Source organism: Homo sapiens, chromosome 2 (genome assembly GCF_000001405.40).
Source record: "Homo sapiens chromosome 2, GRCh38.p14 Primary Assembly".
Lineage (NCBI taxonomy): Eukaryota > Metazoa > Chordata > Mammalia > Primates > Hominidae > Homo > Homo sapiens.
The window spans coordinates 56,074,636-56,101,459 of record NC_000002.12 but is presented as its reverse complement, the minus strand read 5'-3'; the positions used below and the strand labels follow the sequence as shown (position 1 = coordinate 56,101,459).

Here is a 26,824-nt window from a genome sequence, read left to right as displayed (position 1 = left end):
TAAATACCATATAAGTCTTAAGTCTTTGCATCTTCCTTATGAATATGTTGCTGTTGGTCTTAGAAAGATTTGACTCTGCGTTGTTCCTTTGCACTGAATCTTCTCAACCAGTTCAATTTTTTATTTTTTATTTTTTTAGCTTCTGACGTCAAAAGAAGTATTGTTGGATGCGGTAAATTTTTTAATCTATAGAGAAAATTCCCAGCATGTGATGATTTAAATTTTAATTTAAAATTTTCTCATGTATTTGTATTCTAGTTAACATAGAAGATATGGGCTAAAGGGAGGTTTCTTAATCTTTCTCTGTGCAAGTGCATGGGCTTAAACCTGCAAAAATTAGAAACAGTGACTTCACAGAAAGCCCACAAGCTCAGGAATTGAAACAGAGTAGGAATAGAAAACTTACAAGTCATAGTAAAGAAACACTTGATGAAATGATGTCAGCTTTCTGGGTAGATGCCAGTGTCCAGCTTGATTATCTACAAATCCCTTTTGCTGTCTTGGCTTCTGTCAGAAATGTCAGCTAGGAAATCACAATCAAAACATGCAGGTGTCTCAACATAATTCTGGGCTTTTTGTTTCAATTCAACTGGGAAGATTGTTTTTTCATAATCATTGAAGAAGGAAGCATACTGTCTGAAAGATTCTTTTAACTTTTTTTAAAACTTGAAAAAACTTTTCTCACAAGTCCTTCTTGACTTCTTGACACAAAACATCTTAAAAAGAATACAAATTCAATATTGGGCCAAAAATAAAATGATGAAAAAAGAGTGTTATGAAAAAGAAAACTGAAGATTTATGGAAACATATTGAAAAAATCAAAGCAGTATCATGAAAGAAATAGCAAATAAATTAGAAGAGCAAGGAACCGAATAAGCACCACTGATAATGAAATTACAAATAGAATAAAAGTTTCAGCTACTTAGGGTACAGGCAGATTTAAGAAGATAAATCAATGAGAATTGATATGAAAGATACAAGACACTTATATACTTGAAATAGCCTAATAGATAATATATTCTAATATATTAATAATAGTTAATATATTCAAAAATATAATACAAGAAAATTTAGCTGAATTAAAAGAAATATTTTTTAATTATATATAGTGGAAAAGAACATGTGCAATGAGAAAATTTAATACAGGACTCTCTGTACCAAGACAGATCCTAGCCAAGCTCTTGAATTTCAGGGATAAAATTATTTCAGGCATTTGGACAGAAAAAACAAATAACCCAAAAGGGATTAAAATCATGCTGCCCTAGACTTCTCCACAGAATTAGCCAATGCTATAAGACAATGGAACAATTGTTCTGAGGTGAAAATAGCATGACCCAATAATGTCATAGCCAAGATGACAATCAAGTATAAAAGCATTAGGCATTATGAACCAGGAGAGCACTAAAGGAACATAATACCATGAGCTTGTCTGAACAAAACAGATGACAAAAACTTGCCAATTCATTTTAATCAAAATTAAAACAGAGAAGGTATGTGTCTTTTAAAAAACCAGTGGTTCAATCCACTTAAATATTGCCTATTTAGCATATGAAAACAGTAATTACAGAACAAAATTCAATATTATAAACCCAAACAATGTAAAAAAATAATAAAACTTACAAAAGTTGGAGGTGATGATAGAGAAAATGTGAAGATGTGGAAAAAAAGGCCATGGCCTTTTTTCTTTCATAGCAGGAAGTAAATTTAAAATGTTGAAAATTAAAATACAGCCCTTTAAAAGTCTTGATTCCAACACCAATGTTTATCATGTTCTCTTAACGTTAAAAAGTACTTTTACAAAAAATATTTTTTGATACAAAGCAATATGAATTTGAAATTTAATAATACCTTTAGCCTTGCTTCTACAAGTTCAAGTAAAATCAAATTTAATACACTTTATTTTGAAATGTATAAAATTATAATTTTATAAACATAATAATAAGCTATTTTTATTTTTAAAAAGACTGGAAGCAAATATACCAGTATATTGATAATGGTTCATTTTGAGTAATGGAAATTGAGATTATTATAGTTTCATCTTTATTCTTTTCCATAATTTTTTAAATTTCTTAAAAATAAGCAAGAGTTAAAACTGGACCAGGTGTATCTGATACGGAGTTTTTCTCAGACTTTCCTGATTCTAGGTAGTTGTTGATGAATTTTTGTAGTGAGCAGCTAGGGAGTGGGAAGGCTTGCATAGCTGTATATCTACTATACCATGCATATATTATAATAGTAGGTATGTTTGTATAAATGTCTTTACTGCTAGAAAAGGAAGTAGTAGCCACTTCCATTTTTTATGTTTTTGTCTATTCCTCCAACTCTCCCCTCTTCTGACCCTGGCTCTCTTCCATTTTTCAGTGGAAGCACAGCACAGAGTAATGAAAAGGTCTACTTCCTACTCCCTCACCTAGAAGCCTCAGGTTAGTCACTTCTCTTTTCCAGACCTTGCTGCCTCATCTATAACACATTGTTACCTGCCTGATGATAGGACTTCAGTAAACTACTCTGAGAAGACCCTTGGATTTAGATTGCGGAGCATGAGGAGAACCACGACCTAAACAATCACAGAGGTGTTCCGAGTGGGGCTACATTTCCAATCAGCCACAACAGGAGGTTCCAAGAGAACTGTGGATAAAGAACGGTGGCTGACCCATGGCTGGACCAAGATGCTCAACCTCGGTAGATAAAGGCCAACAGCAAAAATATGCTGGTTATTTTTTTTTTCAATTCTCAAACGTTCCTATTCTTTTTTTTTTAATACTTTAACTTCTAGGGTACATGGGCACAACGTGCAGTTTTGTTACATATGTATACATGTGCCATGGTGGTGTGCTGCACCCATTAACATGACATTCACATTAGGTATATCTCCTAATGCTATCCCTACCCCTTTCCCCCACCTCACAACAGGCCCCGGCGTGTGATGTTCCCCACCCTGTGTCCAAGTGTTTGCATTGTTCAATTCCCACCTATGAGTGAGAACATGCGGGGTCTGGTTTTCGGTCCTTGCGATAGTTTGCTGAGAATGATGGTTTCCAGCTTCATCCATGTCCCTACAAAGGACATGAACTCATCATTTTTTATGGCTGCATAGTATTCCATGGTGTATATGTGCCACATTTTCTTAATCCAATCTATCATTGACAGACGTTTGGGTTGGTTCCAAATCTTTGCTATCGTGAATAGTGCTGCAATAAACATACGTGTGCATGTGTCTTTATAGCAGCATGATTTATAATCCTTTGGGTATATACCCAGTAATGGGATGGCTGGGTCAAATGGTATTTCTAGTTCTAGATCCCTGAGGAATCGCCACACTGTCTTCCACAATGATTGAACTAGTTTACAGTCCCACCAACAGTGCAAAAGTGTTCGTATTTCTCCACATCCTCTCCAGCACCTGTTGTTTCCTGACTTTTTAATGATCGCCATTCTAACTGGTGTGAGATGGTATCTCACTGTGGTTTTGATCTGCATTACTCTGATGGCCAGTGATGGTGAGCATTTTTTCATGTGTCTGTTGGCTGCATAAACGTCTTCTTTTGAGAAGTGTCTGTTCATATCCTTTGCCCACTTGTTGATGGGGTTGTTTGTTTTTTTCTTGTAAGTTTGTTTGAGTTCTTTGGAGATTCTGGATATTAGCCCTTTGTCAGATGGGTAGATTGTAAAAATTTTCTCCCATTCTGTAGGTTGCCTGTTCACTCTGATGGTAGTTTCTTTTGCTGTGCAGAAGCTCTTTAGTTTAATTAGATCCCATTTGTCAATTTTGGCTTTTGTTGCCATTGCTTTTGGTGTTTTAGACATGAAGTCCTTGCCCATGCCTATGTCCTGAATGGTAATGGCTAGGTTTTCTTCTAGGGTTTTTATGGCTTTAGGTCTAACATTTAAGTCTTTAATCCATCTTGAATTAATTTTTGTATAAGATATAAGGAAGGGATCCAGTTTCAGCTTTCTACATAAGGCTAGCCAGTTTTCCCAGCACCATTTATTAAATAGGGAATCCTTTCCCCATTTCTTGTTTTTGTTTTGTTTTGTCAAGTTTATCAAAGATCAGATGGCTGTAGATGTGTGGTATTATTTCTGAGGGCTATGTTCTGTTCCATTCGTCTATATCTGTTTTGGTACCAGTACCATGCTGTTTTGGTTACTGTACCCTTGTAGTACAGTTTGAAGTCAGGTAGCGTGATGCCTCCAGCTTTGTTCTTTTGGCTTAGGATTTTCTTGGCAATGTGGACTCTTTTCTGGTTCCACATGAACTTTAAAGTAGTTTTTTCCAATTCTGTGAAGAAAGTTATTGGTAGCTTGATGGGGATGGCACTGAATCTATAAATTACCTTGGGCAGTATGGCCATTTTCACGATATTGATTCTTCCTGTCCATGAGCATGGAATGTTTTTCCATTTGTTTGTATCCTCTTTTATTTCACTGAGCAGTGGTTTGTAGTTCTCCTTGAAGAGGTCCTTCACATCCCTTGTAAGTTGGATTCCTAGGTGTTTTATTCTCTTTGAAGCAACTGTGAATGGGAGTTCACTCATGATTTGGTTCTCTGTCTGTTATTGGTGTATGAGAATGCTTGTGATTTTTGTACATTGATTTTGTATCCTGAGACTTTGCTGAAGTTGCTTATTAGCTTAAGGAGATTTTGGGCTGAGACGGTGGGGTTTTCTAAATATACAATCATGTCATCTGCAAACAGGGACAATTAATGACTTCCTCTTTTCCTAATTAACTACCCCTTATTTCTTTCTCCTGCCTGATTGCCGTGACCAGAACTTCCAGCACTACGTTGAATAGGAGTGGTGAGAGAGGGCATCCCTTTCTTGTGCCAGTTTTCAAAGGGAATGCTCCCAGTTTTTGCCCATTCAGTATGATACTGGCTGTGGGTTTGTCATTAATAGCTCTTATTATTTTGAGATATTTGCCATCAATGCCTAGTTTATTGGGAGTTTTTAGCATGAAGAGCTGTTGAATTTTGTCAAAGGCCTTTCCTGCATCTATTGAGATAATCATATGATTTTTTGTCATTGGTTCTGTTTATATGCTGGATTACGTTTATTGATTTGCGTATGTTGAACCAGCCTTGCATCCCAGGGATGAAGCCAACTTGATCATGGTGGATAAGCTTTTTGACGTGCTGCTGAATTCGGTTTGCCAGAATTTTATTGAGGACTTTTGCATCGATGTTCATCAGGGATATTGGTCTAAAATTCTCTTTTTTTGTTGTGTCTCTGCCAGGCTTTGGTATCAGGATGATGCTGGTCTCATAAAATGAGTTAGGGAGGATTCCCTCTTTTTCTATTGATTGGAATAGTTTCAGAAGGAATGGTACCAGCTTGTCTTTGTACCTGTGGTAGAATTCAGCTGTGAATCCGTCTGGTCCTGGACTTTTTTTGGTTAGTAGGCTATTAATTATTGGCTCAATTTCAGAGCCTGTTATTGGTCTCTTCAGGGATTCAGCTTCTTCCTGGTTTAGTCTTGGGAGGGTGTCTATGTCAAGGAATTTATCTATTTCTTCTAGATTTTCTAGTTTATTTGCATAGGGGTGTTTATAGTATTCTCTGATGGTAGTTTGTATTTCTGTGGGATTGGTGGTGATATCCCCTTTATCATTTTTTATTGCATCTATTTGATTCTTCTCTCTTTTCTTCTTTATTAGTCTTGCTAGTGGTCTATCAGTTTTGCTGATCTTTTCAAAAAACTAGCTCCTAGATTCATTGATTTTTTTGAAGGTTTTTTGTGTCTCTATCTCCTTCTGTTCTGCTCTGATCTTAGTTATTTCTTGCCTTCTGCTAGCTTTTGAATGTGTTTGCTCTTGCTTCTATAGTTCTTTTAATTGTGATGTTAGGGTGTCAATTTTAGATCTTTCCTGCTTTCTCTTGTGGGCATTTAGTGCTATAAATTTCCCTCTACACACTGCTTTAAATGTGTGCCAGACATTCTGCTATGTTGTATCTTTGTTCTCGTTGGTTTCAAAGAACATCTTTATTTCTGTCTTCATTTCGTTATGTACCCAGCAGTCATTCAGGAGCAGGTTGTTCCGTTTCCATGTAGTTGAGCGGTTTTGAGTGAGTTTCTTAATCCTGAGTCCTAGTTTGATTGCACTGTGGTCTGAGAGACAGTTTGTTATAATTTCTGTTATTTTACATTTGCTGAGGAGTGCTTTACTTCCAGCTATGTGGTCAATTTTGGAATAAGTGCGATGTGGTGCTGAGAAGAATGTATATTCTGTTGATTTGGGGTGGAGAGTTCTGTAGATGTCTATTAGGTCCCCTTGATGCAGAGCTGACTTCAATTCCTGGATATCCTTGTTAACTTTCTGTCTTATTGATCTGTCTAATGTTGACAGTGGGGTGTTAAAGTCTCCCATTATTACTATGTGGGAGTCTAAGTCTCTTTGTAAGTCTCTAAGGGCTTGCTTTATGAATCTGGGTGCTCCTGTATTGGGTGCGTATATATTTTGGACAGTTAGCTCTTCTTGGTGAATTGATTCAGTTACCATTATGTAACGGCCTTCTTTGTCTCTTTTGATCTTTGTTGGTTCAAAGTCTGTTTTATCAGAGACTAGGATTGCAACCCCTGCTTTTTTTTGTTTTCCATTTGCTTATTAGATCTTCCTCCATCCCTTTATTTTGAGCCTATGTGTGTCTCTGCACGTGACATGGGTCTCCCGAATACAGCACACTGATGGGTCTTGACTCCCTCCAATTTCCCAGTCTGTGTCTTTTAACTGAAGCATTTAGCCCATTTACATTTTAGGTTAATATTGTTATGTGTGAATTTGATCCTGTCATTATGATGTTAGCTGGTTATTTTGCTCATTAGTTGATGCAGTTTCTTTCTAGCATCGTTGGTCTTTACAAGTTGGCATGTTTTTGCAGTGGCTGATACTGGTTTTTCCTTTCCATGTTTAGTGCTTCCTTCAGGAACTCTTGTAAGGCATGCCTGGTGGTGACAAAAATCTCTCAGCATTTGTTTGTCTGTAAAGTACTTTATTTCTCCTTCACTTATGAAGCTTAGTTTGGCTGGATATGAAATTCTGGTTTGAAAATTCTTTTCTTTAAGAATGTTGACTATTGCCCCCCACTCTCTTCTGGCCTATAGAATTTCTGCCGAGAGATCCGCTGTTAGTCTGATGGGCTTCCCTTTGTGGGTAACCCGACCTTTCTCTCTGGCTGCCCTTAACATTTTTTCCTTCATTTCAACTTTGGTTAATCAGACAATTATGTGTCTTGGAGTTGCTCTTCTCAAGCAGTGTCTTTGTGGCATTCTCTGTATTTCCTGAATTTGAATGTTGGCCTGCCTTGCTAGGTTGGGGAAGTTCTCCTGGATAATATCCTGAAGAGTGTTTTCCAACTTGGTTCCATTCTCCCCGTCACTTTCAGGTACACCAATCAGACATAGATTCGATCTTTTCACATTGTCCCATATTTCTTGGAGGCTTTGTTCATTTCTTTTTACTCTTTTCTTTCTAAACTTCTCTTCTTGCTTCTTTTCATTCATTTGATCTTCAATCACTGACACCCTTTCTTCCACTTGATCAAATCAGCTACTGAAGCTTGTGCATGGATCACGTAGTTCTCGTGCCATGGTTTTCAGCTCCATCAGTTCATTTAAGGTCTTTTCTACACTGTTTATTCTAGTTAGCCATTCATCTAATCTTTTTTCAAGGTTTTTAGCTTCTTTGTGATGGGTTCGAACATCCTCCTTTAGCTCGAAGAAGTTTGTTATTACAAATCGTTTGAAGCCTTCTTCTCTCAACTCGTCAAAGTCATTATCTGTTCAGCTTTGTTCCATTGCTGGCGAGGAGCTGCATTCCTTTGGAGGAGAAGAGGTTCCCTGATTTTTAGAATTTTCAGCTTTTCTGCTCTGGTTTCTCCCCATCTTTTTGGTTTTATCTACGTTTGGTCTTTCATGATGGTGACATATAGATGGGGTTTTGGTGTGGATGTCCTTTCTGTTTGTTAGTTTTCCTTCTCACAGTCAGGACCCTCAGATGCAGGTCTGCTGCAGTTTACTGGAGGTCCACTCCAGACCCTGTTTTTCTGGGTATCACCAGCAGAGGCTGCAGATCAGCAAATATTGCAGAACAGCACATGTTATAGCCTGATCCTTCCTCTGGAAGGTTCGTCTCAGAGGGGCACCCGGCTGTATGAAGTGTCATTCAGCTCCTACTGGGAGATGTCTCCCAGTTAGGCTACTCAGGGGTCAGGGACCCACTTGAGGAGGCAGTCGGTCTATTCTCAGATCTCAAAGTCTGTGCTGGGATAACCACTACTCTCTTCAAAGCTGTCAGACAGGGACGTTTAAGTCTGCAGAAGTTTCTGCTGCCTTTTGTTCAGCTATGCCCTGCTGCCAGAGGTGGAGTCTACAGAGGCAGGCAGGCCTCCTTGAGCTGCGGTGGGCTCCAGCCAGTTCGAGCTTCCTGGCTGCTTTGTTTACCTACTCAAGCCTCAGCAATGGCAGACGCCCCTCCCCCAGCCTTGCTGCCACCTTGCAGTTCAATCTCAGACTGTTGTGCTAGCAGTGAGCGAGGCTCCTTGGGCGTGGGACCCTCTGAGCCAGGCACAGGATATAATCTGCTGGTGTGCCATTTGCTAAGAACATTGGAAAAGCGCAGTATTAGGTTTGGAGTTTCCCAATTTTCCAGGTACCGTCTGTCATGGCTGCCCTTGGCTAGGAAAGGGAATTTCCCAACTGCTTGTTCTTCCTGGGTGAGGCGATGCCCTTCCCTGCTTCGTGGGCTGCACCCACTGTCTGACAAGCCCCAGTGAGATGAACCCAGTACCTCAGTTGGAAATGCAGAAATCACCTGTCTTCTGCATTGCTCATGCTGGGAGCTGTAGACTGGAGCTGTTCCTTATTGGCCATCTTGGAACCTCCCCCCTTTTTTTTTTTTGAGACAGAGTCTCGCTCTGTCGCCCAGGGTGGAGTGCAGTGGTACCATCTCGGCTCACTGCAACCTCTGCCTCCCAGGTTCAGGTAATTCTCTTGTCTCAGCCTCCCTAGTAGCTGGGACTACAGGCACATACCACCACATCTGGCTAATTTTTGTATTTTTAGTAAAGACGGGGTTTCACCATATTGGTCAGGCTGGTCTTGAACTCCTAACCTAAGGTGATCCACCCACCTCGGCCTCCCAAAGTGGTGGAATTACAGGCATGAGGCACCACGCCCAGCCCCTATTCCTTTTCACAGATTTAGGTGGGGAGGTTTGGAGGAAACAGTACGTGGAGCAAGACAGTACATTCTATGAGTTCATTAGAAAGCAAAAAAAAAAAAAGGGATTTGGGGAGGGACAAGGGCGCAGAGCAGTGGTAGGACAGACAGCTCTTCAGGAAAATATTTGCATAGCTTAGTACTTTACATCTTTACCTTCTTGGCCCTCGTAGCAATCCTTGAAGTTAATGGGAAGAAGTATACATATGGATATGGTCTCCACTTTGCAGATGGCAGTGGCTCGGCCCCGTAAGGGGTTTCTTCAGGGTCCTTATGCTAATAAGGAGTGAGAGTGAGTATGCCAAGCCAGTCTGCTCACCCTAAGGTAGTACTCTTTCTTATACCCCAGCCTTTCAAATATAAAGCCATCACAGCCCTAAATGTATTTGGCAAAAAAAAAAAAAAAAAAAAAAATCAAAAAACAAAAAAGCAGAGAACCTGAAGAAACACAGTAAAAGATTTTAAACAAGTATTTCCAATTTCCCAGTCCAATGCAGTGAAACCTCTATCTCCTGACTTGGGACCTGTACCTCCTTCACCATAGGCAGCATGCTGTCCAAATGCCTCAGGGTTCTCCGCAGGCAGCACAGAGGGCTCTACTAGAGCCCTTACAGATGACCCGAAATAGTGCATGGGTTGGGAGAGTGTCTCACATAACCTGCTCATGAGTCCTTCATTCCCAATCCTTTCATGTTCATATGTATACATCTTTATTGTCCTTGCAGCTTTGTGGGACTAACTGTTAGGTGTCATGCTATTGCGTTTATATCTAAAGAAAAGAATAATGTGTTTTGAAAATATTGATATGCTATAGATATCTCGCCTCCTATGGAGACTGCAGTTCTGTCAGTCTTTCCAAGTATTCCTTTTACACAGGACTCCATTGGCTAATTTCCTCATTTACCTTCATTGATGTCATCTGTGGAAGTGTTAAGCCGGCATGTAATTGTAATAATGGCAGCTCACACTCCTTGAGCATGTACAGGTGCTGTGCTTAGTGTTTTGTCAGCAATATCTCATTTAACAGAATTATGATCCTAATATTTTAGATAATGGAACTGAGGATAAGAAGGGTTAAGGAACCTACTCCTAATCAGACAGAATTTGTATGAGGGGAATCAGATTTAAGCCCTGGTCCAGTGGATTCTCAACCTTTATACTAGCACCCTACATACTTTCTCTGGTTTTCATCACAACTGAAGAGCACAAACACCTGCTGAATGCCTGAATAGCCCCATAGAGAATAGCTATGGAAAAGCTTTATGGCAAGGTGTCATTGTGGCTAAAAGTTTGGAGTTAGGAAGCCTCAAGGTCAAATCACAGCTCTGATACCTAAAACCTGTTAATATATTGGAGCCTCTGCTTCCCTGGTGAAACAAAGGTAATGATAGTACCAATATTATAGTTCTGATAACTAAATGAGAAAATATCTAAAACACACTTAGCTTGATGGCTGTGGTGCTGCAGAGACTTGGTAATGTTCATTTTTGTTTCTATTAAGCCAAAATAAAATAGACTACTCCTTTCTGGTCACCCCCATTAGCAACTTATGGAGACAGAAACTAATAAGAGTTTACACATTTTAAAACTATTGGCTGAAATAGAGTCATCACTTTTCAGAGCTCCCACCTTTCTCTAGCACATTTAAATGTCTACACTAAAATGACACTGCGAAGACTGCCCAGTAGGTAAAATGAGGAGCTGATATTTATGAAGCACCTAATATTTGCAAAGCTCTTTGTGACATACAAACAAGTATAAATCTAAGACATTTCCCCCATAGAATTTTTGGGCCTCGTTATGTAATAATAGGATGTTATGCAACAATAATAACAACTGCAATGCAAAAAGACAATTCAATACAGGAGACCTTGCAAAGCAGTGTTTGATAGATCCCATTTGGTGGGGTAGAAATATCACTCTTAGCTAAGGTAAGATCTTGCAAGCCAGAAAATATGTAAAGATTAAGAGGGAAGAAATGAATTTAAGAAAAGGGTAAAGACTGTGAAAAATAAACACAGGGTACCCGGTGATGCAAAATCAAGGAAGCGAGGGGATAGAGGCGGAAAGGCAGATTGTATGTAAGTGGCAATAATGGATCATGTGTGAGGATGTGGTGGAACAGGAGGAAAGTAGATAATGAGCTTCTCACACCCCTTCTGCTCTTTACTCAGGGACCCAGCTAAAGAGCAGGGGAAAAAAAGAGCCCTATCATAAAAGGAAATAATAAAAAATCACTTTCTTTGAGAAATCTCAGCAGCACTGTGTCTTGAAAGAGATTTAGGGTGACAACTGCTCACCACCTTAAATCTGCTCTGAATTTGGAATTCATTAAGAGAAGACATGAGGCAAATAGTGAAAAGCACAGTATCAGTTCATAAGACTGGCTGGAAAATTGGGCTAGATCTATGACCACATTTTGAAACTAATGCCCCCTTCCTACAAATTAAGGTTATTGGCCAATTAGGGGTAAAATTGTACAACCACAGGCTCCCGCCTCACCTCATCCCATTCCCCATCCAGGACAGTTCACTGCACGCTGCAGAGAAGAAGACCATACACATAGCTTGCTCAGGTGGTTCTGAAAATAAGACAGAGGAAGGTCTCAGTGCTCCTCTCCTCTTCCCAATCCCACCAGTCAGCTTTGGAGCCAGGAGAGAAGGACAGATGTTTCCCTCCCAATATTGGCCCCTGTTAGGGAGTGAAAAGTATCTTTTATAGGCCTAGTAGACATCCAAGGAGGTAGAAAAATAAGTCTGTCTCTCTGTGTTTCCATCTCTCTGTTCCCATCTCAATAAAAGTTTGATATTGCAATAAATAACAACTAAAAGAAATACTATTTTCTGTATTTTCCCTAGGGATTTATTATTGAGGTTTTGTTTGTATCAGTTAGCTAGTATGTTTTTTAAATGCCCTTCTGTGTTCTATGCGGGTTGCATTCATTTCTGCTATTTTTCTTTGAGTCAACATCTCACTCGGTCACCCAGGCTGGAGTGCAGTAGGGCAATCACAGCTCACTGCAGCCTTGGCCTCCCAGGCTCAAGCAATCCTCACACTTCAGCCTCCCAAGTAGCTGGGACCACAGGCACATGCTACCATGCCCAGTTTATTTATGCTATTTTGAATAAGCATCACAATTTCACTTTCTGGAAAAACCAAAGTTAGTGGAATTGCAAGTGCTGTTTTTTATGCCTCAGGCTTTGCAGGTTTTAACATGTTGAAATTGGGGATAACATATAATTTTTGGACTTTATAAAGAGAGATTGGAAAAGAAATCATGATATATTTGAATACCAATGGTACTTGAGGATTAGCAGCTAAATTTGAACCAAATTTCAATATCACTCCCAAAGATCAAAAGGAAATGAAATCTATCAGTGTGAATAAGCATATTGTTTTTGGTTTGTTTAGAAAATGTAACTAATGTCAAAAACCTATGCATTTATCTCTTCTTTTCCCTGTTTTCTCCTCCCTGCCCAATTTGAAACTTCACTGTCTCAATTACCTCAGCTAAGCATTGATCTGATTCCAGCTAACATTATCGAGATGACTGGTCGACAGCCCCAAATAGCCCAATGTACATTTACATTCCAATGATGCACTTGTTCACTCAAGTGACACGGATGGATGGAATGTTGATCACTGGACTTAGCTAAGCTCTCTCCCAGTGTAGACCACAGTGACTCTTCTAGTCACAAATCTTCCAGAAACAAAAATTTCCTTTTAATATTCCAGTTGTTCAGGTCGGTGCCAGGGTCAGCCAAAAGAAACAGCATGGTCATGCCATTTCAGGCACAGGAACTTCAGCCTGAGACCCAGGTGGTCTAATCATTTGATTTGGGGAACTTCTTATGGTCTGGCCCTCATGAGCTTCAAGCCTCTGAACTGGGAAATTCAAACATTTCAGGTGCCTGAGGGGCCAACCATTAAAAGACGTATTTTGGAAAGAGTCCCTTACCCATTTGGCTTACATTTATGAGTATCCTGAATTATCAATCTCATTAGAATTAATATTCCAACAATATGATAATATGATAAATTAACTTATTCCACAAATATTTATTAAATGCCTACAACAGTACCTATTAAATATTAAGTATTCTGAAACTATTTATTGATGTGTAAAATATTTCTGGAGAACTCACTATATGCATACTCAGTACTATGTTCCCTGGATGAAATGATTCCTAAGTAGAAATGGGAGCCCTTACTTTGACTATGAAGTCATTTGCATACCAAGAGCCTCTTCCTTCCTCTACCCCTAACCATTCCCACCACTTCTAAAGAGACAAGTGATCTAAAGGCTTGAACATTGTGCCCATAAATCTACCTCTAAAGCTCTGCTCAACAGTATGTCCTCCCCTGGGCCCATTACAGGAAAATATGCACCATTTGAAACCTGAACCATCCACTGTCATAGAGAAATACATGAATCAAAAGCAGCTGGCCCTCAGCAAAATCTAATGCTTGCTGGCTCAGCCTCCACATAAGGCCAATCACTGTTGCCATATTGGTTTGCTGAAGAGTAGAGTCATCAAAAGCTGCAAGGACAAAAATACCAAACACTGCATGTTCTCACTCACAGGCGAGAATTGAACAATGAGAACACATGGACACAGGAAGGGGAACATCACACACCAGGGCCTGTTGTGGGGTGGGGGGAGTGGGGAGGGATAGCATTAGGAGATATACCTAATGTTAAATGACAAGTTAATGGGTCCAGCACACCAACATGGCACCTGTATACATATGTAACAAACCTGCACATTGTGCACATGTACCCTAAAACATAAAGTATAATAAAAATAAAAAAATAAAAAATAAATAAATAAATAAAGCTACTGCCCAAATAGTTCTTGTACTGCTAGGGAGCTTCAAGATTAAAATATTCCTAGTACTTCCCTCAAAAATCTTCTCAGCTGGGAACCTTCCCTGACACTCTCTTCCCCCTTTTCTTCACCAGGAACCCCTTTGTTCTTTGCACCTTCCCCCCACACTTTGAAAAACTGTCAGTAATACTACTTACCACATTCAACTAAAATTAATAGTTTGCATGCTTACCTGAGCTTCCTGAGAGCAGTTACTCTGGCTTCCTCATCACTGAAGCCTTAGCATCTCACATAATAATAGCCTAGCACGTGGAAGGTGGTGAATAAATGATTTTCAAGTAGAATTTCTTTGTTCTTAATGAGTCAATAAACAAAATATCACTTAGCCAGAGCCAGTATACTATATAAGCATTGGAAGTCTCTGTTCAACCTGCTGTGTACTCCCCAGACAGTCCCAAAATCCTTGTCATAGTTCATCATTATATGCAAAACCTAGAAAATATTTTGCCCAGTTTTTCTATAAAATAAAACCACATAATTTTAGAATAGGTGTGTGACCTTGACAATCTTATACAAATCCCCTAATTTCACAGATAAGAAATCTGAAGTCCCAAGTAGGTAAGTCAAGGTCATACAGCTAATAAATGGCAGAAAAAATGATGAAATCCAAGGCTCCTTACTCCTTTGCCCATGCCTGGTTACTAGTCCGTGATCCAGATTCAGCTTGTTGAAGTCCCATTTCTTCAGGGGCTTATGAAAGGACTTGGGGGAGCAGTGGTCGTTGAACTGGATTCAGAAAGATCCACCAGTTGCTCTAGTTCTTTTTTCTTTCCGGGGCATTAACCCTGGACAAAAGCTGTCTTAGTACAAGGAGCAAGAAAGGGAAAACGTGATGGAAATTCAGCTAATGAGATATAAGGAGGCCTTTTAGGACAGTTTCAGATTTGTAACCTGCATTCGAGATAGACTACCCTTGGGTCAGATCTTCGGTAGTGACTGAGCTTCAGAATAGAATTTTTGAATTTATCCTGGTCTGAATCTGTGTCCCTGAAAGGATCCAGTATACTCTCCGCCTACACACACGGACACATGCGCACACGCGCGCGTGCACACACACACACACACACACGTATCCCTAGCGCTCTAGCACTCAGGACCTGACACTCAGTGCTAGCATGGTGCCACACAGAACCCTAAACTGACCAGAACCCTAAACTGTCAGTGCATGACTAACACTGCTTAGGCATCTCCAGATATCTTGCCCTGTGTCCTCAAAACAAAAAGAAACCATGTCCAAATGCTATGAAGCTCCGCAAAGGTCAAGATAAACACTGCCACAGAGCAGAGGAGAAGTTGAGTAGCAAAAGCACTTAGGCAAGAGAAAAGACAAATTAATTTCCTTACCAAACTTTTTCCTCCTGGATAGAATGAATGTGATAGATTCTCACAGAACTAAGAGTTATTGCTTCTCTGCAGGTACCAATCTGTGATTCCAGACGTGCTCACAAATTGGTACTATATTCACAACAGTTTCGGAAGTTGAATATTTCATAATGTTAAACAATTCATATTACTCTTAAATTTATCTTTATTTAGCTCTAGACATAAAATACGTGGAGAATACAAAAGTTTTTTACATTGGCAACCAGATGAACTTTCAGTGTCAGAACTGTGAATACTTTTATATTTATAAAAATAGAATTTCAAAATAAATGGCGAATTTCAGTTTTACCTAGAAATTTTATGAGCATAACAATTATTTTATTATGCCTATTGTATTTGTATTTTGCCTATTATTTTTAATAATGCTTTGATATTTTAGGAGAAATATAACTTTTAAGACATATAGTATATAATTTTTTCATATTTATATGTACTCTATTTTTTAACAAAATATAATCAAATTGTGTAGTTTGCATACAGATACATTTTATTTTTAATCCTTTAGCTCATTTCTATAAACAATTAAATTATAAAAAATATTAAGTATAACAACAAAATTAATGATTTTGCTAAAGAGAAAAAATAGATCTTATGGAATAATGCATAATAATTTATTAACTATGCATGTTTTTTGTTTTTGTTGTTTTTTTTGGGAGGGACTCTCGCTCTGTCGCCCAGGCTGGAGTGCAGTGCGCGATCTCGGCTCACTGCAAGCTCCACCTCCCGGGTTCAAGCTATTCTCCTGCCTCAGCCTCCCGCGTAGCTGGGACTACAGACGCCTGCCACAACGCCCAGCTAATTTTTTGTATTTTTAGTAGAGACGGGGTTTCAGCGTGCTAGCCAGGATGGTCTCGATCTCCTGACCTGGTGATCCACCCACCTCGACCTCCCAAAGTGCTGAGATTACAGGCGTGAGCCACCGTGCCCGGCCTAACTATGCATGTTTTTTATTACTCACGCAAACAATAATGGCTTATCTACAGAATACCAAGGCATGAAAAATAATAATTAAACTTAGTCATCTTTAGTGTTTTTCCAACTTTCTATTATATAAAAACCATAGCTTCACCCACATTATTTTTATTTCTTCATTAGGAATGTATATCTGTCAAAGAGGAAAGTCAGAACATGTTTTATTGAAATCGGTAGCTTGATTTAGAACCTTTATGTGTATAGACATATGGTTTGTGGGCCTCTGTTTGTCCTCTCATCCCAGCTGCTGAAATGTTAGGAGCGGCCAGTGTATGAGTCACCAAAAGTTAACATAAAGTGATTGAAGCCCCAAAGTAAGCCAACAAGGAAAGTAGGAAAATAAGTCTCTTCCCTTCTCTTGAAGTCAAGACTCTGTTTTTGTTTTGTTTTTCTTTGTTTCTGTTTGTTTATTTGTTTTTTTGAAAGCTCCTAGTCTCAGGTGGAAGCACACAAGCACATAGGCCATGGTGAATCAGTGTTACCATCTATGAAGTCAGTATCCAAGAAAGACCTACTGAGCTTTGCCAAATGTTCCTAGGAGGACTGGTCTGTTTGGATGGATGTTGTTTGTATCTGTGTTTAAGGGCTCCAGAAAGTACAAGGAATACAAAACAACAATGACACTTTTCATGTTTAGAGGCCCCGCCTGTGGCTTCCATGTCTTGGTTGTCATGGGGACTTGAACGTGCTCTGCCCAGCAAATTCCCTGCCTGCATGTGACTGGATGGTCTCAAGGATGTGACTCTGCAGTGTGTTCATAACGCTGTGGTGAAACATGACTGTTCTATTTTTGGTTTTCATTTCAGAGCCCTCAAAGAGAAATGCATTAATCTTTCATCTGTAGATTAATGTCTTACTTTTTATTTATATTTTATAAATCTTTTGCCATATCTTTTTGCTTCTTCAGTCTCCCAGAACAATCTTAATCGTAGATTTTACGTTATTCTTCAAAAAATATAAATTATTAAAATCTGGTAAATGTTCTCTCCTTGATAATTTTTAGAATTATTTTAAACAATTGGGGCTGCCTGTGTCTGTCTTCAAATCTTATCATCTTGTATTATTAGAAGAGAGTCTTGTATTATTAGAAATCCATTTACCTTGAGAAAACTTAGATAAACAACGAAGAGAGTGACAGCATGAGCAAGAAGGGAACCCTATTTAAATAGTGCAGGTGACTCCCCCTGACCTACCCCCAAACCACCCTCAACTCTGTCCCACTCACAGATCGCATGCCTCAGTGAACTTGAGTTGGGAGCCATGAATCTGCCATGTCCTGGGAACCAAATATGATTCCAGTATTTAAAGACATACCTTCTTCAGGCATTACCCCTAAATGTAAGCCAGCCACATTTGAGACTCAAACAGAGTCAGGATTCAGTCCCAAAGTTAGAGGAAAACAGCCAGTGCTGGGTGTTTGGAAGGCAGCATATTGCTCTCCAAAATACTACCCTCCTCTGCCATTTTCCAAAGGTAATTTTGACTAGTTATGATTTTTACCACATACACCAACTTCAGAAGTAAACCTTTATATACGGTATGAATTATAGTTTTACATTCAGCCCTATTCTTAGTCAGTATCACGTTCATGTTTGATTCACCTATCATATCCCTTGCAGCCCCCAGTGCAGTGCCTCAAACATGAGGTGTTTGAGAAACTGTGAATAAATAAGTTTCCAAGGATTGAGAAACACCTCTCTCTGATGGCCCCTGTCATCCATGTAACAAAGAAGTCACCAGATGGCTACTATCATATTGATACTAGCTAGTTTCTCCAAGTGTGGTGCCCAGATCATCTGCTTCAGAATTAATCAGGATTAGTTAAAAGTATTAAAAGTAAATTCATGGGTCCCACCCTATGTCTCTTGATGCAGTTCCTCTGGGAATGAGGCCTCAGAGCCGGGCCATCAGTGTATCTCTAAAGCTCCTGAGATGATCCTAACGTGCTTGCAGGGCTCAGAACCATTGTGTCAGACACTCTTTCTTCCACTTTAGCCCATTTACAATCTGCAGTATTAGCTACATTCAGCTAACAGTAGACGCTAGGGAAGAAGGGGAGAAGATCAAGGAAAGCAAAACAACATACAAATGTCAGGTCTGTGGGAAAGCTAAACCCTGGGCAAAGTGCTGCACAGCATGTGCTTTCAAAAGCAGTCAGCATCAACGTCAAAATAACTGGCTCTCACCAGGCTGGTAAGAGAATGAGATTTGATGGATGTGTCAGAAAGAGGCTCTTTGCTACCTCATGAGTATCGCCTATTAGCAATTTAAATTGAATCCATGTTGCTATTCCTAGGACTGGCTCATGGTGCACCTTATTAAAGTTAGAAGAAGATAAATTAATTCCTTGTTCTAGAGAACAAAATGTTTGACTATTCCCTGGAAGAAATAATACCTATTTTGAATAAGTTACTTATATAAAACTATGTCTATTATCTGTTATATGCTTCCCAAAAACTATGTTCCATAAGTAGGAAACCTACTACTGTCCTCATGTTAGACAGGGTAGAGCTGGGTAGAAAAGGTAAAGTAGCCTCCTCAAGCCACGTACCTGGTAAGTGCAAGATCCCAAGTCTTCTAACCCAAATCCATTTTTTTTCTCACTCAAGCTCATCAACACCATACTTCCTGTAAAAAAGAAAAAAAGATTCGGATTACATGGAAAACTCTCATCTGCTTGCATCTCTCTTATGAAACTTATTACTTTCTCTTTTATATTTTACAATTACTTACAGAGCCAGATATTTCTGACTCTTCTACTTAAAGAGGGATGGTATATGTCTGATTCACTTTTATATTCCCCACAATATCGAGCCCTGAAAAACGGTAGGTAGTGAGTAAGTGTTTCCTGGGTAATTATATGAAAATAAGAAACAGATATATTTAATATTTCGCTTTGTAAAACTTTATTTATTTATTTTCTTTACTTATTCTTTAAAAAAAAAAGGGATACATGTACAGAACGTGCAGGTTTGTTACATAGGCATACATGTGCCATGGTGGTTTACTGCACCTATTGACCCATCCTCTAAGTTCCCTCCCCTCACCCCCCACCCCCAACAGGCCCCGGTGTGTGTTGTCCCCCAATCTGTGTCCATGTGTTCTCAACGTTCAACTCCCACTTATGAGTGAGATCATGCATTGTTTGGTTTTCTGTTCCTGTATTAGTTTGCTGAGGATGATGGCTTCCACCTTCATCAATATCCCTGCAAAGGAAATGATCTCATTCCTTTTTATGGCTGCATAGTATTCCATGGTGTATATGTACCACATTTTCTTCCTCCATTCTGTCATTGACAGGCATTTGGGTTGGCTCCATGTCTTTGCTATTGTAAATAGTGCTGCAATAAACATACACGTGCAGGTGTCTTTATAATAGAATGATTTATATTCCTTTGGGTATATACCCAGTAATGGGATTGCTGGGTCAAGTGGTATTTTCGGTTCTAGGAATCACCATACTATTTTCCACAATAGCTGAGCTAATTTACATTCCCACCAACAGTGTAAAAGCATTCTTGTTTCTCCACAGCCTTGCCAGCATCTATTGTTTCCTGACTTTAAAAATCACCATTCTGACTGGTGTGAGATGGTATCTCATTGTGGTTTTGATTTGCATTTCTCTGATGATCAGTAATGTTGAGCTTTTCTTCATATGTTTGTCGGCCAATTAAATGTCTTCTTTTGAGAAGTGCCTGTTTATATCTTTGGCCCAATTTTTGATGGGGCTGTTTTCTTTTTTCTTGTAAATATGTTTAGGTTCCTTGTAAATTCTGGATATTAGACCTTTGACAGATGAGTAGATTACAAAAATTTTCTCCCATTTTGTAGATTGCCTGTTCACTCTGATGATAGTTTCTTTTGCTGTGCAGAAGCCCTTTAGTTTAATTAGATCTCATTTGTCAATCGTGGCTTTTGTTGCAATTGCTTTTGGCATTTTTGTCATGAAGTCTTTGCCCATGCCTATGTTCTGAATAATATCACCTACGTTTTCTTATAGGGTTCTTATGGTTGGGGTTTTACATTTAAGTCTTTAATCCATCTTGAGTTAATTTTTGAATAAGGTGTGAGGAAGGGGCCCAGTTTCAGTTTTCTGCATATGGCTAGCCAGTCTTCCCAGCACCATTTACTGAATAGGAGATCCTTTCCCCATTGCTTGCTTTTGTCAGGTTTGTCGAAGATCAGATGGTTGTAAATGTGTGGTGTTATTTCTGACATCTCTGTTCTGCTCCATTGGTCTATATGTCTGTTTTGGTACAAGTACCATGCTGTTTTGGTTACTGTAAACTCGTAGTATAGTTTGAAGTCAGGTAGTGTGATGCCTCCAACTTTGTTCTTTTTGCTTAGTATTGTCTTGGCTATACGTGCTCTTTTTTGGTTCCGTATGAAATTTAAAATAGTTTTTTCTAATTCTGTGAAGAACGTCAATGGTAATTTGATGGGAATAGCATTGAATCTATAAATTACTTTGGGCAGTATGGCCATTTTCATGATATTGATTCTTCCTATCCATGAGGGTGGATTGTTTTTCCATTTGTTTGTGTCCTCTCTTATTTCATTGAGCAGTGGTGTGTAGTTCTCCTTGAATAGGTCCTTCACATCCCTTGTTAGCTGTATTCCTAGGTATTTTATTTACTTTGTAGTGATTGTGAATGGGAGTTCCATCATGATTTGACTCCCTGCTTGCCAGTTGTTGGTGTAAATGAATGCTTGTGATTTTTGTACATTGATTTTGTATCCTGAGACTTTGCTGAAGTTGTTTATCAGTTCAAGAGGTTTTGGGGCTGAGATGATTGGGTTTTCTATATATACAGTCATGTCACCTGCAAACAGAGATAACTTGACTTCCTCTCTTCCTATTTGAATACCCTTTATTGCTTTCTCTTGCCTGATTGCCCTGGCCAGAACTTCCAATACTGTGTTGAATAAGAGTGGTGAGAGAGGGCATCCTTGTCTTGTACCAACTTTCAAAGGGAATGCTTCCAGCTTTTGCCCTTTCAATATGATATTGACTGTGGGTTTGTCATAAATAGCTCTTATTATTTTGAGATATGTTCCAACAATACCTAGTTTATTGAGTGCTTTTAACATGAAGGGATGTTGAATTTTGTCAAAGGCCTTTTCTGCATCTATTGAGATCATCATGGGGTTTTTGTCTTTGGTTCTGTTTATGGGATGAATTACATTTATTGATTTGTGTATGTTGAACCAGCCTTGTATCCCAGGGATGAAGCTGACTTGATCGCGGTAGATAAGTTTTTTGATGTGCTGCTGGATTCAGTTTTCCAGTATTTTACTGAGAATTTTCGCATCAATTAATCAGGGATATTGGCCTGAAGTTGTCTTTTTTTGTCTCTTCCCAGTTTTGGTATCAGGGTGATGTTGGCTTCATAAAATGAGTTAGGGAGGAGTCCCTCCTTTTTGGTTGTTTGGAATATTTTCAGAAGGAATGGTACCAGCTCCTCTTTGTACTTCTGGTAGAATTCAGCTGTGAATCCATCTAATCCTACGCTTTTTTTGGTTGGTAGGCTATTAATTACTGCCTCAATTTCAGAGCTTGTTATTGGTTTAATCAGGGATTCAACTTCTTCCTGATTTAGTCTTGGTAGGCTGTATCATCCAGGAATTTATCCTTGTCTTCTAGATTTTCTAGTTTATTTGCATAGAGGTATCCTGATAACAACTGGCATGCCCTTTTCTTTAAGAACATCCCTCTCTGTTCCTCTTACAGTGCCACTATAAACAAAATCATTACTAACCTTGTTGCCAGTCCAGATTTTAAACACAAATGGGAATTGTATACCAGGAATCAACTACGGCTTAAGAAATCAATGTTTCAATTCCAGATCAAAATGTTCTTTCTTTTAAAGTGAAGGGACAAATAGACCACAGCTCTATCCTTAACAAAGAAAAAGGTTTAAAAAAATTATTTTGGCTGGGCACGGCGGCTCACAACCTGTAATCCCAGCACTTTGGGACACTGCGGCGGGCGGATCACGAGGTCAGGAGATCAAGACATCCTAGCTAACACGGTGAAACCCTGTCTCTAATAAAAATACAAAAAATTAGCCAGGCGTGGTGGCGGGTGCCTGCAGTCCCAGCTACTTGGGAGGCTGAGGCAGGAGAATGTCATGAACCCAGGAGGCAGAGCTTGCAGTGAGCCGAGGCCACTGAACTCCAGCCTGGGAGACAGAGCGATATACCTTCTCAAAAAAAAAAAAAAAAAATCGGGATTTTTTTCACTTGGAGGAGTGATGAGTAGGGCTAGAAGGGGGAGTTGGAAATGATTAGTTTCCAGATTTGAATGTCAAGTACAGAGTGTACTCACTTTGTAAAAATTCATTGAGCACTTTATATTGAACTTAAAGTAAAAGTTCACTCCTAAAAAGAAGTGACACCCTTGGCACCATTTAACAATGGTGAATAGTACACTGATTCAAACAAGCTTCTACTGGGTATGATGTGGGGGATCATTTCTCCACAAATTGGAGATTTTAACAGCCATGTTTCACATCTGGTCAGAATTCAGGTGCTTGTGAGATGTTCCTTTGATCTGGAATTTTTCTATATTCACATCTCACTTTCCTCTGGGATTTTACCTATTATAAAGAGTCTCTTGATACTATCCATACTCAGTCCTCTTATTATCTCACTCACCCATGCACCAAACACTCCTCAGGGCATGGACTATATCTCTTTGGTTTTGTGATCTCTTCACCCAGTTTGGGGTAAGCCCAAATTAAGTATTTAATAAATGTTAAGATTCTGAGATCTTCAAGGGCATGGACAACATCACTATCTGTAGAGAGACTTGTTCTTCTGTACCTGGCCAGCCGCAAGACAGGCAGATATCAGAAAGCCTCCTTTCACCTCTGGTGCCATTATCCTCTAAAATTATCAGGGCCCACAGTTCATAAACAATTCTTTCTATTTCTTTCCAGAACCACAAACCATTTTCAGAATTCATAAATGGAAAAGTTCTTTCAAGAACAATATGAAGAATATTCCTAATCCAGTGGCTCCACATGCAAACTTTGCCTCCTGACCACCCAAGGCATCATTTTAGTCAACTACATCTCCTTCTGGAGCCTAACTTTAGAAAATGCTTCCCACATTGTCTCTTTTAGAAGACAATTTTGATACATGATGTTAGAGGAAACAACTACCTCAACAAGTTTGAAACTCCTTCTAGAAATTGCTCAGCAGCAACACATACTGCTTTTCCAGTAAAAGCTCCTATTTGACAAAGGCGAAACTCCTTGGCCCCACCTGGTGGTTGCTGAATCCAGCAAATTCACCTTTTGCATTTAAGACCCTATCAGAAGCTGTACTTTGTCCTTTGACATCTATGGAGTTATAGACATTGAATCTCCTTCGATGATGAAGTGAGGTCTCATTCCAAGTGCTTAAGATAATGAAACCTGTATGAGGACAGATGATGCAACATCAGCAATTTTTGCAGTGCTATGAATTTCAGGTGGCGTCTTAATTCGAAGTAGGTTACAAGATAAAATACGTGAAAAAGATACTCCAAATTTAAAACAGGACTTTCATGCAATAAGCATAAATGCTTCCTCTCTAAGTTAAGATCTGGGGCATAGTCTGTAAATTTTAGATGCACGTTTTCCTCTTGGATACCAATTTCTGACTATAGTAAACCAATAATTCTGAGGGCTCTGATTAAACATATTGAACCTAGCAAATATTTGTACTTCCCTCTCTTAAACCCATTGAAATGATAGTAAAGATATGCAAAAGGATAGGATATGAATAGGTGAAATAATTAGGAAATTCTCTTAAAAATGCATGGCATATGGGATTACACTAACAGATAAAATAGAACAGAGAAAAATAACTATTCAGAGTACAAGAGAAGCCGCAAGAGAAGCTGCAGTGAAGGTGGAATCTGTTACTCTATGAAGAGACCCCTGGCATTGGGAACCTGAAAGAGAGCAGACACTAATAATGCATCTGGCTAAAGAATCTGTTGGCTGGCTTTTGGGTGGTGCATAATGAAGAACGTTTATGTTTCCGACTTCAATAAGAAAAATTAAGGGAAACTAGAAATTCCAGGAAAAGGAAAATGCTGTACAAAAATTCATGACGAAAATATGAAGCATTATTATAGGAAATTTATGGAGTCTAAGAAAAGAAAATCTTGACTTAGAACTTGAAATATTCTACTTTAAGTAGATCTGATTTAAGAATATAAATTATATCTCCTCTACAGCTGCACTCTGGTTCTGCAGTGAATAATATTGAACAATATCATAATATTATAAATGATGTTTATCTATTTTTGCTTCTCTGAATCAATGTATAGACAAAGCGATGAATACTTAATTAAAATTTCCATTCAGAATGTAAATGTTTTAAACCTTGGCAATATAAAAGTAGTGGTAGAAATGATGAACAGTAGGAGTTAGAGGTGGGAAGGAGAGATGGGAGAGCGTGTAGGAGTGACCGACTCCATATCATACACCATGATATGTCTGAAGTTGACAGAACAAGAAATAAAAGTCAAAAATATTATTTAAAGTATAAACAATAGAAGAACAAAAAGAAAAAATGGGAGCAGATACAGGGAAAAACGAAGCAGAGTAGTTGCTATGAGCTGAAATAGTAATCTTTTACAGCAAAGAGTTAAAAGACAAGCTTAAGTTGGTAAGATAAGAAATAGATATTAATGTTGTATGAAACAGATACTTCGAGTTATAGTGATAATCCCTGGAAGAGCTAAAGACAGAAAACATCATGGGTGGCAGCCTCTTGAGAACCAGGCTATGGATAGTGGAACTAGACACACTTTTCATCTGGCACCCTTATTTTTTATTGAAATTTTATTTCCATGAGCATGTACTTCTGAAATTCTGATTAGCATGCTGACATTATAACATCCCAAGTTTTGAACCTTTTTGATTTTCTAATCCTCAACCGATGAGGCAGTGACTGTATGTAATGATCAAAGCTTGACAGCAGGTTAAATTTCCATGGTCTTCAACTCTAAGGTGAGTGGCCCCTCTCTAGAGCTCTCCAAGTCTGACATATATTGCCTTCAGAACTGTAGAAGCAAACGTTTCTGAACTATTTCCAACTACCTACTTGCCTGTCCTTCCAAGATTACCAGTTTTCTGTGGATGTCATCTTCTCTTACAACCAAGCATCATAAATCCCTCATAGATCTCCTTCATGAGGTGTGCTGTTCAAGTCCGAGAATGCCTCACTTTTAATGATCAAAAAAGAAAAAGCTGACAGAACTGAAATCTTGACAATAGGAACTTTCAACTTTCAGCTCTAGCAGAGGGTATTAATTTCACTTCTGGAGCACTCATAATCTAAGAAACTTCTGGATCCTAATGACAAGGATGGAAACAACAGTTATTAAATCCCATAAATATCCCCTCTGCCTAATTATATAGCAAAGCCAAATGCTGAAGAACCACAGGATAAAATATAATGCTATGCATTCCACTTCCAGAGATATGAAGCTGCCATTTTTTCCTTCACTCTCTGTCTTCGTCCAGCCTCCAAGCACACCCCTAGCTTCACTTGACCTTACTTGGTTCAACATATCCCCAGGATCACTTCACTTTGCTTGCTTTAACATGTTTTCATACCATGTCACCTTACTTGCTTTAGCACATAATACTGACAGATGAATAAAATGAAAACTGCAGCTGAAATGATCAAAACTGCTTAAAGGAAAAAGATGCTGAAGTTTGCCATAGTAAGAAAAAAAAGAGCATAAATTTTGAAGTAATACAAAGCTGTCATAGGGTTTCAAACTAGGAAGTTCAAGTACCTTGGGTAAGGTCACACAGCTTGCAAATATTAGAGTCCAGCCCACAGTTGTTTTCTTAAGTAAATAATGATTAGGCATAAGGGAGATGATCATCCTCGAACCTAAAAATCTACTACAAACTTAATGAATATTGCCTGGCCTGAAAATTGATGATGCCACAAACTTTTTTCTACATATTGGCAAATTTCTACTGAGGTTTATTCTAAGCCTTGATGGGGTACTTAAGTTCAGGAAAATAAAAATATGGATTTTTTTCCTCATATAAACCACAAAGAGATTGGGACAAAAATCATTCCATCTAATTACACCAATCACTAAGAAGAGTAAATATAAGAGTGTTTTATTTCTGAAAAATTAGAATTATTTTAAAGGTAACCTATTTTGATTCCAACATTACAGAATTAACATAAAGTATATATTCCCTAAAACACATCAAACTTTTATCCAGTTGTACTCTTCTTTATATAGCTAAATGTGAAAATGTAAAATGTATTAATTATTAAGGGGTGCAGTAAAAAAAATTAAAACAATGCCTTAAATCTATACTAGCCACTTCTAT

At 38.7% G+C, this 26,824-nt stretch overlaps 2 long non-coding RNA genes across 2 annotated transcripts in view; one reads left to right on the top strand and one right to left on the bottom strand.

The window, feature by feature from the left end:
• The window catches only part of LOC105374690 (uncharacterized), a 231,734-nt gene that overhangs the window by 76,098 nt on the left and 128,812 nt on the right, over positions 1-26,824 (bottom strand). The window contains exon 4 of the long non-coding RNA XR_940109.3: positions 19,015-19,091. This is a non-coding gene — a long non-coding RNA (uncharacterized LOC105374690). The remainder of the gene's footprint in view (positions 1-19,014; positions 19,092-26,824) is intronic.
• On the top strand, positions 11,078-26,806 carry LINC01813 (long intergenic non-protein coding RNA 1813). The gene is made up of 2 exons (NR_135590.1): positions 11,078-11,150; positions 23,405-26,806. It is a non-coding gene; the product is annotated as a long intergenic non-protein coding RNA 1813 (long non-coding RNA).